General features: G+C 44.5%; 1 annotated feature.

Moving 5' to 3' along the window:
* Window positions 461-1,660: an enhancer, noted in NCBI's record as "BRD4-independent group 4 enhancer chr13:44805723-44806922 (GRCh37/hg19 assembly coordinates)". NCBI's record gives its function as "activates an origin of replication core promoter dependent on BRD2, P300/CBP, MED14 and CDK7 cofactors, and independent of BRD4, by STARR-seq in HCT116 cells {active_cell/tissue: HCT116}" and the evidence as "EXISTENCE:reporter gene assay evidence [ECO:0000049][PMID:35650434]".

Here is a 14,254-nt window from a genome sequence, read left to right on the forward strand (position 1 = left end):
ATTCAACAAGTCCCACATAGAAAAAGCATAGAAAAAAGCAAGAAAAGATTAGAGCGCATTTGACTTCCTATCTTCCAATCCCCCATTCCCTTCATCCCTCCTAAAAAATTCTCCAACAAATTGGACTTTTTGTTTGTTTGTTTGTTTGAGACAGAGTCTCGCTCTGCAGCCCAGGCTGGAGTGCCGTGACAAGATCTTGGCTCACTGCAAGCTCTGCCTCCCTGGTTCATGCCATTCTCCTGCCTCAGCCTCCCAAGTAGCTGGAACTACAGGCGCCCACCACCACGCCCGGCTAATTTTTTATATTTTTAGTAGAGACTGGGTTTCACTGTGTTAGCCAGGATGGTCTCGATCTCTGGATCTCATGAACCGCTCGCCTTGGCCTCCCATAAATTGGACTTTTAACATTTATCCTCAAGAGGAAAATGAATGGGCTAAATTATAATGTCGAAGTATAGGTCAAATTTGGCAACTCTCCTCTTCCCTCTTAGCCATGACCATAATGAAAAAAGCCAGCAAGTGTGACCAGGCTGAGAGACGCTTGACCAAGGTGTCTTCTCGGGGCGCATGCTGACAGGTCGTAAGGGGGCTCCCAGCTGATCTCCCCGGGTCAGTCACTCTGAAGGCTGACAACAAGTTGGAAGCTGGAAGACACTGAATGCAGTTGCGGCATGGCGCACGTGGATCTCTCTAGAAGCCGAGTGTCCAGGACCTTTCTTCCTTCCCTGCTCAGACCACAGTAATTTTTCTCCTGGTTTCCAATCACTCTGTGAGCCTTCAACTTGGGAAACTCGAACTGCACATTGAGGGCCACACTGCCTACCCCACCCTTTAAGCTGCCACCGAGTTGTTTGCATACCATCGAATGTAGCCAGCTCGCCAACTGACCGCCGACTGTGGCTACCACCCTGGGAAACAAAATGAAGCATGTCATAGTTTTCCGATGAAAGACAATCAAAGATGCAAAAGGATCACAATTGCAACAGTGTGAGAAGCAGCCAGCAAATAACCATTCACTATGGAGTGGGTGACCTTTTCATTGAAAGCAACAGCTATGACTAAACAGCCTCTTACAAGAGGGTGTTGCAACTGAAATTCTCTAGGCCTGACTCATGGCTTTTCAACCTTGGTCCAGGCTCCTCTCCACCTGGTGGGAGAGCAGGTTGTCTCTCACAACAAACTCTGGGAAAGCCCCGCCCCAGGCCTGCCTCAGAACACAGGAACATGCTGCCAGTGTTTTCCTTTATCATTTAAAGTTTGTTTGTGTGCTGGGCAAGGAGACGCTTGCAAGCAGGTTCTTGAACTGGGTGTAATGAAAGCTGTAGGGATCGCATGGCGCCCTAGACCCACTGCCAAGGCCAAGGGGAGGGACAAAGGCTTAATGGAAGAAAGTGGCTGCAGCTGCTCTCCAAAGCTGTCATTACTTTCTTGCTGGAAACTTTGAAATATTATTTGTTTCCTGTTTCAAACTTCTGGAGATATACCATCCCAGTACCATGATTAAGGGCAATAGTGTCACAGGGAGGTGGGCTGGCCTCTGCGTTTTTCATGTGGGCTTTTCCATCTTTAATACTATATTGCTTTATAAATGTCTTTTTGTCTGTAGATATCTTCTGATCCCTGCCCCCGCCACTCCCAACTCCTGGCTTCTGATGTGAAATGAGAGACTTAAAGTTGATCAAGTTCATGCCGATGTTTAATTCAGACTCAATGTTTTTCTGAAGTCTAAAATCCTTTGAATCCGATGGGAGAGAAGAAGGAAGTGAAACTGGATAGTGTAAATAATTTGTAGTTAGAGCTGAGATTTATGAGGGGAATTGCCGCACAGAGCTTGGTGTTGAATGTCTCTTTGGGCCCTGGGAGACAAATTCTCCACTTGACTGCACGTAGGTCTCCCACCCTTCTGCTGGCACCAGGAGGCGGAGGGGTCTCTACCCTTCCAGGGTGTGGGAACATGTATGAGGGCCCCAAGAGCCTGGACCCTGGAGAGCTAGAGGAGGATGGGGTGTTGCTGTATAAAGTAATTGGCATGTGGCTCTTCACGATGAAAAAAAGAGATTTTGTGGCAGGAAGAAAGCAAAAGAGGAGGGAGGAGAGAAGGAACCATAGATTCTGAGAAACACACCAGGATGACTAGGCCTGGAGGAGTCCAGGGTGGGCCTCAGACCCTCACTTCTTGTCTGGCACCTCCCATTGCCAAAAATGCAGACTTCAGAGTAGGACCATTTTTGGAGCCATGTATAAGAAACAGATTTCTATATAGGTCAGGCCTTGCTAAAATTCATTTTGAGAAGTTCAGAGATGGAATGGAGCAAGACAAAATTGAAATTCTAGCATCCTTTTCCTCATACAATTCACCCCTTGTTTTATGAAGATGTGGGACAAACTGAATGAATGTAACTTGCTTAAAAGAGCACCTGACACACATGGATGCTATGGAAGCACCATTCGATTCCATGCTTTAACTATAAATGATTATTGTTATTATTACTATTATTGTATCTTGACTCTGCTTTCAAAGAGCTGATTTGAACATAACAAGTAGGTAAGGAAATTGCAACCCATCTTCTTGCTTTTCACAGTTATTGCACATAAATAGCCAAAACAATAAGCTAAATGAGACTGTGTTGCTGAGATTAGACCTTTCAGGGAAGTAGGAGGCCCACTGAAAACAAGGACAAACCTTGTTGGGTGCTTGCGGGTGAGAGTTGCTGTTTGCCTAGACTCCCTGCCACACACACTGTAGGGGTCTGAACCCCAGATCTGAACTCTGCACCCATGAATTATCTAGCTGTAGAAATTACTGAGGACCTCTGAGCCACCATTTCCCCTTTTACAAATGGATATGATTAAACCACCACCTCCCAGGAAAGAGGAGAAGACTGAGTGACCAGCTAACTCCCACCTCTCACAGGATCGTATGAGGTTCTAGCAACCCGAGTTTATAATGGAACAAAAAAGAATAGGAAAGGCAAAATACACACCAAGGAATGACATACAACCAATTTACTCACAGTTAACTTCAGCATAAATGTATACACATAATCAGTTACAATTAATATCCACATCGAACTAGGGAGTACATGATTCTGGTGTTCTTTCCAATTCCTTCTCAGTGAGGGATCTCAGGAGAGCTTGGTCTATGTGTGCCTAATCCTACAGGAACACCTCTGCCCTGGCCCTTTTAAAACCCTCTTTCTTCTACATTCATCACGTGGTTCTCTGTGGCCTCTGGTCCTCCCTATATCCCCCACTAGTATCTGGCTCATGATGGGCCACTTGGGACCATCTAGGACCAGTTTTCTATTGCAGCCAATTCTTAATGCTTGAAGTTCAGAGTTTAAGAATCATCACCATTTTCTCTCACCATTGCTGGCCCCAAATCCGTTTTCTCTCAGTACAATGAGAATAGTCTCATAGGGTTGTTAAAAAATAATATTTAATCCAGTTAGCACAATGCCTGCCACCTATATAGTAAGCATTTTTTATGTCAGCGATCATCATCCTCCTCTTCCTTATTCAGCTACTTGTTAAGGTGGTTCCCAAAGATGCCCTTCAAAACAACCTCCAGCAATTTCTCTTCACATTAAGAGAAGATGGTTTTATGAATCACCCTGAATTTGGCAGGAAAAAGACAACTTTCAAGTGGAGAGTTACAAACAAAGCAAAAAATCAATTCCCTGATGATGCAAAAGTCATCTACTTTTTGTCTACTTTTTCAGTCCCACTTTAAACCCATCCAAGTGTAGTTTTGTTGTTTGATTACTTAATGCCACACAAGCAGGTGCTTCTGAGGAGTTAATTTACCTTCAAAGGGCCAGCCTAGCATCTTTATCCTAAATTTGTAAGGGAACGAACATAATCTCATTTTAACACATTAACATTCTGCTCATCAGAGCTACTTAAATGCTAAGTTTAGGGAGCACATGGTGGCCCAGATTCAGTTCACACTTTGAAGTGGAAACCAGAAGAAAACGACAGGTTTTCTATGGATGTGGCATCCTCAGAGTTGGTTTGTAAACCAGCTACTGCTGGGATCATGATGTTTGGGATCACACCCCAGACCAGAGCACAGCAACATTAAGAAGGGGGCAGCATATTCAGTTGTGCTGTAACTGACTTGACATGAGGTGGTGGGGATGACTCCTGCAAAGGAGAACTAAACACCATGCATGAATTAAGACCCTGTATTTAGCAGACAAGAGTACTTCATCCACCAGGAAGAAAAGTATTAAGCACAGGGATGATTTCTCAGACTCTATCTGTTTGGTCAGCATCTCCCCTGAGATTTTGCAATTCGCTTTGTTTTGATTCTGTGATCACTGAGCAAGCTTCTGACTGTTACTTCAGTCACCCCAGGCACCTTAATACTCAAAAGGGGTATCTTGGGTCATAGAAATAAATATCTCAGTTACTGGGACGGTAGTGCCTCTCATTTTATAGGAATAAATTTGTTTTGTTGCATATACATCAATTTTCTGTGAGTTTAGCATGATTCAGTCCCTCATGGTCTAGTAAGCTCCAAGTTCACTTCAACAATAGAGGGTTTCTATTAGAAAGTTGAGAACCAAACTTTAAATCAGCATTTCATTTAACTCTATTGTGCCTCGGTTTCCTTACCTATAAAAGCATAGAAAAACAACAGCACCCACTTTAAATGGTTGTTGTGAGGATTCACGATTTAATAGATACACATTATTCATGTGTATGTATGTATATGAAATGATTTAACATATGGAAAGTACTTTGGATGGCGCCTGTTTTTCATAGTGACCCACAGGTGCTACCCACTTACAAAGAATGTCCTGCTAAAAGCAGCCAGCTGTCATCTCTCCTTCCTAAACTTTCTTGCACAACCCTCAAAGAACTTACCTCTTTTAGCCACTCCACTGTGAAAACTAGAGGCTTCAAATAAAAGCTATGCTGAGAATGGCTTTGGCTTCATAAGCACATGACTTGTATGATTGTATAGGGCCTGAGTTTGGTTTGATGCTCACCTGTTGCCATTTAGAAATTATTAATAATTTTTCAACAGAGGCCTGACATTTTTATTTTGCACTGCACCCTACATATTACGCAGCCAATCCTAGCTACACAGGACCAAAAGACTAGCCTAGTGACCTTGGATAAACTACAGTACCCATGCTTCCTTCTGGGTGACTCTGTCCTAGTTCCACGGTATGAGGACAATGATGAGAAAGGTGGATTGATATAGCCATAGATGTAGCCTTGCCAATGAGCAGAGTGGCAGCTTCTTGGATACACAGCAACATTTCCAAGCTACAGGCAGTAAGTTTTCTTTCAGGGGTCTCAGTAGACTCAGGGAAAACTAAAAGAAACTCTGAAAGTGCTTCCCATCCCTCCTCCTCCGCACTGCAATAACAAACTCACTTGCTAATTCATTGTAAAATGATCTGAATTACTCAGAGATGTGGAGAAATCAGCTTGGCTTTCAGCACAGGGAGTGACACCAGAACATCAGCCATTGAAGGGAAATAGAGCACAAGGTCACTCTGGCTGAGGTCTCACAATGGAGACTACTGCAGGGGAATGGGGAGGGTGCAGTGGCTTCAGAAAAGCAGCTGGTACCAGCAACCCTTACAGGTGACAGCCATGGAAGCAAGAGCTTTGGCTCTGGAAAATCTTTCACCAGTGAATGAGGAGGCTGTCCTGTCTAAGTGTCCCTCTGAGACACTCACAAGGAACTGTCTGTTTGGGTGGGAGGAACTGTGGTTGGACTTCCACTAAATTCAGTACTGGGAGTTAGAGGTAGAGTGTGTGGAACACTACTGTAAAGTGTTCCTCCTTTGAGTTTCCAAGATGGAGTGGCCCAAGGAGGAACGGACTTTACCAATGTTCAGTCCCATGGTTCTCATATGTGTGAATGTCTGTGTTTATACAGTGGGTCTGACTTTGACACTGGCAGCCATAACATCACTTCTCCATTCCCAAGTGAGTTCCTGTCATCTTCTGATTCTCCTCTCTGTGGCCCTAAAGTCACCATGTAATTTCCCAATGGTTACTCGCCGTCAGGATGTGTGGATGAAACTTTGGAAAGACTGCTGCAAAGCCGCTTGTCGAGAAACCCATCTATGTGTCCTGGCTCTCAAAATTTCAGTTCCTTTGAACATGCTGGTTCACTTTGTTCTGATTTTAGAATCTGGAAATGCAGAGCAAGACATTTCTAAGCTGGGAATTTGCCATCCTGTTGCAGGAGCACAGCAGCAGCCCCAGAAAAATATTTTTCAAGGCTGCAGAGAAAACAAGGGCTGGAAAAATGTTTGTTTATTGCCAGCTCTCCCCACAGCCGCTTATATAACAGCCTGTGCTGAGACAGGCTGTCCTGCCCAGGCTCAGAATCAAGAGTCACACTCCTTGGGATGATGACAGAGACAATGTGGGAACTACAGGGCTATGGCCTATGACGTCCAGGAAGGAAAACCAAGTGGTGTGTGGTGATTAGTCATTTCACAATGAGGGGATGGCTTCCTGGGGTGTTTTCAAGCTTTTGGGTGGCGGCACAGTCTGCAAGAGGGGGAAAGGCTCTGAGAACAAGATATGACTAAAGAATAGTTTCTCATTTACCATTTTTAAAAATAAAACAATGCACAGCCAATCACGTGTGAGCTGAAGGGTAGAGTCAAATGTTTAGGTATTTTCTGACCTTTCAGATCCATTCAGACTTTCTAAAAGCCACAGACATAAACACCATATCCAAATCTGGAAGCTTAAAAAGTTTGGACAAAATAGTATACATTTTGTTCAACACTTTATTGCAAAGGAAAAAAAAGGAAAGAAGTATACAAAGTTTTTCTTCACAAAACAAACACGAAAAACTAACTCTGCCAGGAAAAAATGTGAAACCCATAGACAGATCATGCTAAGGGTCTAAGGGGACAGCTTGCCTCCCCTACGGCATTACTGAAAAGCAGATGTGATGGGCAGCGTCACAGAGGCCTGTAATCCAGTTAGGTGCAGCAGCCACAGGCAGCCTACACTCTTCCTAAAAGCCTCCCTCTCAGGGAAACCCAGGGCCTCTTGGACTGTTCCAGGCTTTAAGTGCATATCAGAAAAACATTTGCCATATGTTTTAACTTAATTTCTAAGTCAGCGTGGGCCCATTCATTCTCATTCCTTCCATAACAGCCTTCCTGAGTAATTGCCTATTGACTTTGCTGCTTGCTGGTCATACCTGGGTGTGCATCTGTCTTACACCAGACACACCTAACTCTCAGCCTCTGTAGTCACAAATAAGGGTTCTATTTGTTGATTTAGAATGGCAAGTTGAAACTAGCACAGTCTTACACGTAGAAGATACTCAATCAGTATTTTGTTGATGGAGTCACATCTCTATCTCTCTCCTTATTCTTCTAGCTTACTTCCCCCACCCCTACTTTTATTTCTTTCTTCCCCCTCTTTTGTCAAAAGGTTGGGCTTACCAGCAAATCCACTGAATACTTGCTAACCCTCTGATTTACACCACACAAGTAGCACCAGTTTCACAAGACAGAAAAAAACTCACCTTGGGGCCCCAAGGTTGGCCTGGATCTTTGAAAGTGTAGGGTCATGATTTATTTTAGGCAAGTGGAGATCTAAAAAGGAGCAAAGATAACAGGACCCTGCAATTCACCAACTGGATCCTGTATATAAGAACCTTTGTGATTTCTCACCTTGCTAATTTCCTGCCCTCTCTTTCTGCAGGTTCTTCCCCAAACCATCATGGACCAGTTGGACTCTGAGAAGAAAAGTTTCTGATCTTTAGTTCATTCTTCCAACTCTCTAGAAAGCAGGAAAACTGAGAATGAAAAATTCTAAATTACTCAGGACTCATGGGTTGCCAATAGAAGAAATACATCTTAAACTAGCTTAAGCCTGAAAGGGAAATGTATTTGTTCATGTAACTGAACCATAACGAAGGATGGTGGACTGAGGGACCTGAAAACACCCTCAGGACTCCCTCCCTCTCCTTTGTGCTCCTGTCTGATGCCGTCTTCCCAGACCTGCTCACTCTCCATAAGGTGGGGATGTGGCCATCAGCAACGTGTACTTCCCCGAAGCTTGTGACCTGAGTAGATAGGCATCTCCCAACCCACAAGGATTGAAAAGTTCCTCTAGGAATTATGTGGATTGGCCCATTCACTATGACATGTTCCCCCTAAGCAGCTAAAGGAACTGGGTCTGTTACCAGAAGAGGTGGGAGAGGGGTGCTAGGCAGATTGAACAACAGCCACTACAACATCTGAGGAGGAGACCTCCGTGAAGGCCACCAAGTCTGCTAGCAGATATTTCCTCCCTCGGATCTCTCTCCCTGTCCTCACAGTCTCATAAGTGAGGATTAAATACTACATGTGGCCTAGGAGATCTTAGACCCTCCACACGAAGATATAGTAACAATCAACATCCTAGTGTTCTGGCAGAGAAAAAATCAGAAAGAATCGTTTGCCTGATTTTTCCATCAATACCAATAATTAATTAGAGATGAAATTTGTGATGGACTCAGAGAATTAGAGAAGATCTAAGGGAATCTAGATGATTTCCTACCCCTAACCAGAGCCTCACAAAAAAGGGTGAAGATCTATGGCCGTCTTGCGTTTGGTGTGAGGCTGGACAAGGAAGTTCCTAAGGTCCTTTAGACTCTGTGAGATCATGAGTCCGTAAAACCCTTCCAACTTGAAATTAGTTGATTCCTTCCTTAAATTTTCTGGGACATTCCCCCACTCCCTCCACTCTTATTAGCTGATTTTACTGACCAATAGGCCTTGAAGTTGGGCGTTCCATCTAGATGTCTCACATCAACTCACCTTTTGCAAATTAAGCCCATACCCTTAAAGAGGGGAATTCTCAAGCCATTAGAAACTAGAGAGTCAGCTGGGCATGGTGGCTCACGCCTGTAATCCCAGAACTTTGGGAGGCCAAGGTGGGTGGATCACTTGAGGTCAGGAGTTCGAGTCCAGCCTGACCAACATGGCGAAACCCCGTCTCTACTAAAAATACAAAAATTAGCCAGGGGTGATGGCATGCACCTGTAATCCCAGCTACTCAGGAGGCTGAGGCAGGAGAATTGCTTGAACCTGGGAGGCGGAGGTTGCAGTGAGCCAAGTTTGCACCACAGCACTCCAGCCTGGGCAACAGAGTGAGACTCAGTTTCAAAAAACAAAAGAACAAACAAACAAAAACTAGAGGGTCTCCTCTTAGTTCTTAAACCCTCTTAGTCAACATTTGTGAGCCTCTTTTCTGTATGTTTTGGCATCTTTATTCCTTTCCTTCGTGTCTTGACCAAATTCACCAGATCATGACTCAGAACAAAATCCTGAGGTTGAATATAGAGGTCTAGAACATCTTCAAATTAACTGTTTCTCCTCATAGAGAATTAAAGAAATTGAGAAAGCAAGAGAGAGTGTGTGGAGTTTTTGTCCTCATTTTCCTCTTTCCTGTAGTAGGTAGAATAATGGCTGCCCAGAGATACTCACATCCTAATCCCTGGAACCCATGAATATGTAATGTTGTATGGCCAAAGGGGAATTGAGATTGCTATTACAATGACTTAAAATGGGAGATTATCCTGGATTATCCAGATGGGCCCAATGTAATCACAAGGGTCTTTAAAAATAGAAGGAGGAGGCAGAAGATTAGGTCAGTCCATGAGACAATGTGAGAAAAGCTCAGCCTGACATTGCTGGCCTGGGAGATGGAAGAAGGAGCCACAAGGGGTACCAGCAGCCTGTAGAAAGTAGAGAAGGTAGAAACACAGATTCTTCCCTGGGGCCCCCAGAAAGGAACACAGCACTGTCAACACTTTGAATTCAGCCTGGTAAGACCCATGTTAGACTTCTGACCTACAGACTGCAAGATAATAAATCTGTCTTGTGTAAGCCACTAAATCTATGGTTATCTGTCACAAGCACAATAGGAAATTAATACACTTTCTATTTGTTTTACGTGTGTCCTGAAATGTTAGGTTCCTTAGGATTCCAACTGCTGAACTATATGGAGACAGGATAGTTTAGTTAAAAGAAAAATCTTAGACAAATTAAATTTAACAGAGTTTACTTGAGCAAAGAATAATTCATGACTTGGTAGCCCCAGAACCAGAATAGGTTCAGAGGGACTCTGTTGCTGCCACGGTGACAAAGAAGATTTATGGACAGAAAAAGGAAAGTGATGCACAGAAAACAGAATTGAGGTACAGAAACAGCCAGATTGATCACAGCTCAGTGTTTACCTTATTGAACACCATTTAAACAGTTGGACGGCCTTGACTGGCCAAAACTTGATGATTGGCACAACAGCAAGTTACAGTCTGTTCACACATCCATTAGGTTACAGCTCACTATGTATGAAGAAACCTTTAGGATGAACTTAAAATATATAAGGAGGGAGCTTTAGGCTAAACTTAACAGTGGACAAGATTTGACTCTGCTACTACGTCACCTTGTGGTTTTGGGTAAATCAGTTTCTCTGGTTCTCAGTTTCCATATCTGCAAAACAAGGTCGTTTTATTAAATGATCCCCAAAGCCTCTCCCCCTTTAAGTTTAGACATTCAGTATACTCTCCGTCTTCTTAATGGTGTCAAATGCTCTGGAAGCCCCAGCAAACACCTGAGCTGCCCCTGTCATCATCCACAGCAGAGCACGGACAGGGAAAGAATGTCCACAGGTTCCAGCTCTCTCAGGACTTGTCCACGGCGAGTGAGGCCACAGGAGGTCAGGGCAGGCACAGCAGCTGCCAGTTCTCTCCACTCAGGAAGAACATACCCAGTGCTAAGGAAGAAACACTGTGGGGACAGAGGTGCTAGAGAATTCTAAAACCCAAGCGGCCATGGAAATCCTCCTAAAGGCAAGGAGACTTGTGTTAGCTTCACAGGAGAGATGGGCTCCGAATAAGGATAGTCTATCCAGAAGTTGGGGTGACAAGAAAGACACCAGGTGGGTTATCATGGTGAATGGGCTAGGCTGGAAGAAAAGGTTTTGTGTGGGCAAAAGGTCAGAAAGATCTGTTAAAAGCAGATGATGAGGCCTTAAAAGGTTCCAGGACAAGGACAGGAAGGCTGAGTGAATGCCTTGATGAGGCCCTACTACACTTTGTGCCATGTTGTATGCCCGGGAGTAAGCAGCAGGCACATAATCGGTGCTCAAGACAATAGGTGCTCAGTATTTGTTGGATGAATAAATAAATAGGCATCAACATATTTTTAGCAGGACATTGCCATTATCCAAGATGAATTTAAGGAAGATAAGTGGGACCTCCATAGGCAGAGTGGACTGAAGGAGGCAGAGATGGAACATCTGTATACTAGTCAAGAGGCTGCTAAACTGATTCAGACATAAGGGTCAAGCTGGGATGTTGGGCAGTGCAAACTGAAGGGAAGAAACATATGTGTCGTGAAGACTTTCCCTAAACCATTCCATCTGGGAGGATGTCATTTCCATTCATGCAAATCTCCAAGGAAGGAGACCCACCACCTCATGAATAAGAATAATGCAATAACCCAGACAGGCCAGCACACTGGAGCAAAATCCTCGGGCAGCCATGGAAGCAAGAATCCAACCCACACCATATTTTCAGTAGAAATGACCACTAATTTATGCACAGTTTTTCTGCCTATAATCAAAGCTAATTCTTAGTTCACTCTTGCCTCCTCTAGACTCAACAACTCAAATTCTCCTAACTGCTTTCAGAGATCCATTCACTGAGTCTTCTCATTATTTCCGTTTTTCTTCCCTGATCCCGCTCCAAGTCCCCTCTGCCTTATGTCATTTAGCTGAATCGGAAGACCAGGTTTGCTCCAGTCACACTCATCTGACAGGCCTGCTCTTTTCCTCTAAGTAGCTGGCAGGAGCATAGCTCTGTTCCAGGAGGGGGACCTGTCCTCATGGGAACATGGCAGTTATGGTCCAAGTCCAGCTGGCCAAGAACTCAGACTGTCCTCTCCTGAAGGTTCCCCCACAGAAATCAATAAGAGCCCACCTCCAGACAGTGGCTGGCCTCAGATCTCAGAGGAACTCACCATCCTCTTCCTCTCCATCATCCTCTCTAAGCTTCCCTGTCTTTGCCTCAGCCAAAGTCCAACCCATCAGGGACAGAAGAGTAATTGATGAAGGCCTTAAGGGATATCAAAGCGCTATTGAGCAAAACCACAACTCAACAGCCGTGCAGGTGCTTCCTGCGGCAGGGAGGGAAAGAAGTGTCTTTAGAAAGCCCTAAATAACTCTAGGCAGGGATGTCAGCTTGACAAATGACTGGTGAGAAATAGCCCTGTTGTTCTCTGGTGTGTGATTCATCCAAGGCTGTGCTGGGGTGGGGGGACAAGGCCCAGCCGTGAGTCCCACCGTTGGTCACTTGGGGCCGCTCTTCAGCTTGGCTCCAAGATGGATAAGAAGGCACTTTTGTTGGTGCTCTTGGCCTCTGTCACTTTGACCTTGTTTTCCAGTGGTTTTATTTAGCGGATTTGTGCTGATTTGGTTTGAGCCGCATTCAGAGGAGGATAGCAACTGTGGGGAGACTCTTTCTAAGCATCCGAAGGCCTCTCTCCCTTTGATGTTAGCTCCCAGTGCTTCTTGCCATCATAACATCAAAGACCAGGGGCTGCTCAGGGCAGAGGCCCATTTCATCTCCCTGTTCCCAGCTCCTCAAAGAGCTGGCTTATTGAAATGCTTGTCACGTGTTGAATGGATAAGTGAAAATATCCCGAGACCAAGGGATATGACATGACAGCTAGTTTCTAGACTTAGCGCTGGGACCTTGACAAGGTGCACAGAGTCTCTGGGCCTCTGTATCCCCATCTGTAAAATAAGAAGGCAAGCTCTTGGGTCCCCTCAAACTCAGACCATGAGGTTCAGAGAGGCCTGCAGAGGCTGATTGGGGCCTACACCCAACTCGCAAGGAGGGGAACAAAGGTAAGGAGAACATGAGGGATCAGCAGTTGTTTTGAATGCCCAGCAGCAGGAGTAAACACCAGCACGTTGAACACTTGCGTGAAAGGTCTATGATGTTTTCAGTTAGGAGGTCGGCCTGGAGGCCCCCTGAAGTAACACTAGATGAATGTATTGTGAACAGCCAGTGGGCTGGTGTGGGCCACATGAGACACAAACAGCACCACTAGCCTCCCTGAGTTTACTGGGTCCTCTTCACCAAGGTGTCCCAGCCACCAGCTGGACATTAAGTCTTTGGTTTATGGTGTGTTTTTTGTTGTTGTTGTTGTTGTTTTCCATGAAACAGCACAGCAAATCCATCGTTAGAGGCCGGCCATCCCACCAGCAGGGATGATTTTGTGAGTGAGTCATGCTGAGGAGGCGCTGTGTGAGGTGGGGCTGCGGTTTATAATGAAGTCCTGCCTGGGACTGTACTGAGGAGACAGCCCAGTGTGTCCCAGCACAGAGCCCATTTCTCAAAGCGGTCATCGTCTGATTCATTTTCTCATGCTGGGGGATGTGCTCTGGGTTTTAATGCCTTTAGTTTCCATCAATGGTAGCTTTGTTAGTGTTAACTGAAAGGAAGACAAATTTGTTTGAAATCAAGGTCTTGTGGATGCCTCAGTGTGTACCCTTCTCTGTGCAGAAAATGGCTGTAATCTTGAGATTGAAGAGTTGAATGAAGTTGTCTTCTTTATGGAAAGGCATTTCAGCAACTGTAATTAATGGTCACAAAAGTCATCAAAAGTTTTAACAATCCCAACAATCCCAGTTTCCCCTTTGCGAATCATTTTAGGTTTTTATATAAAGATCGCTGATGCCCCTATTAAGGCTCTTACTGCTGTAAAAGTCAGGTAGGTGAGACTCCAGCTTGGCCTTCATTTGTCCTTTTGTTTACGTAAAGCATCCAGTTACTCTTACACCTTGACATGGCTTAAGCAGGTCTGACGGGAAACAGCCTTGTTTCAGCTGATAATCTCCATGGAATGGACAGACTTCCCACTGCAGAATTGAGGCAGATAAAAGGAAAAAGAAGTGCTCTCACAGCAAGACAGCAATACCTTCATATACCTGCACACACACACACACACACACACACACACACACACACACACACGCCATTTGGGTGCAGAGTAAATACCTATTTGACATATCTTTTCTGAAATACAGATTTTGAAACCACACAAACCTGGTTTTGATCCCTCTCTACCACTTGTTAGCATGTGAGCCTGGATAAGTTGATTAACCTTTCTGACCTTTGGTTTACTTGTTTATAAAATGAGGAAAATTAAAGTACCAAACCACAGTATTGTTGAAACATCAAAGGAAATAATATACATAA

This window comes from Homo sapiens, chromosome 13 (genome assembly GCF_000001405.40).
Source record: "Homo sapiens chromosome 13, GRCh38.p14 Primary Assembly".
Lineage (NCBI taxonomy): Eukaryota > Metazoa > Chordata > Mammalia > Primates > Hominidae > Homo > Homo sapiens.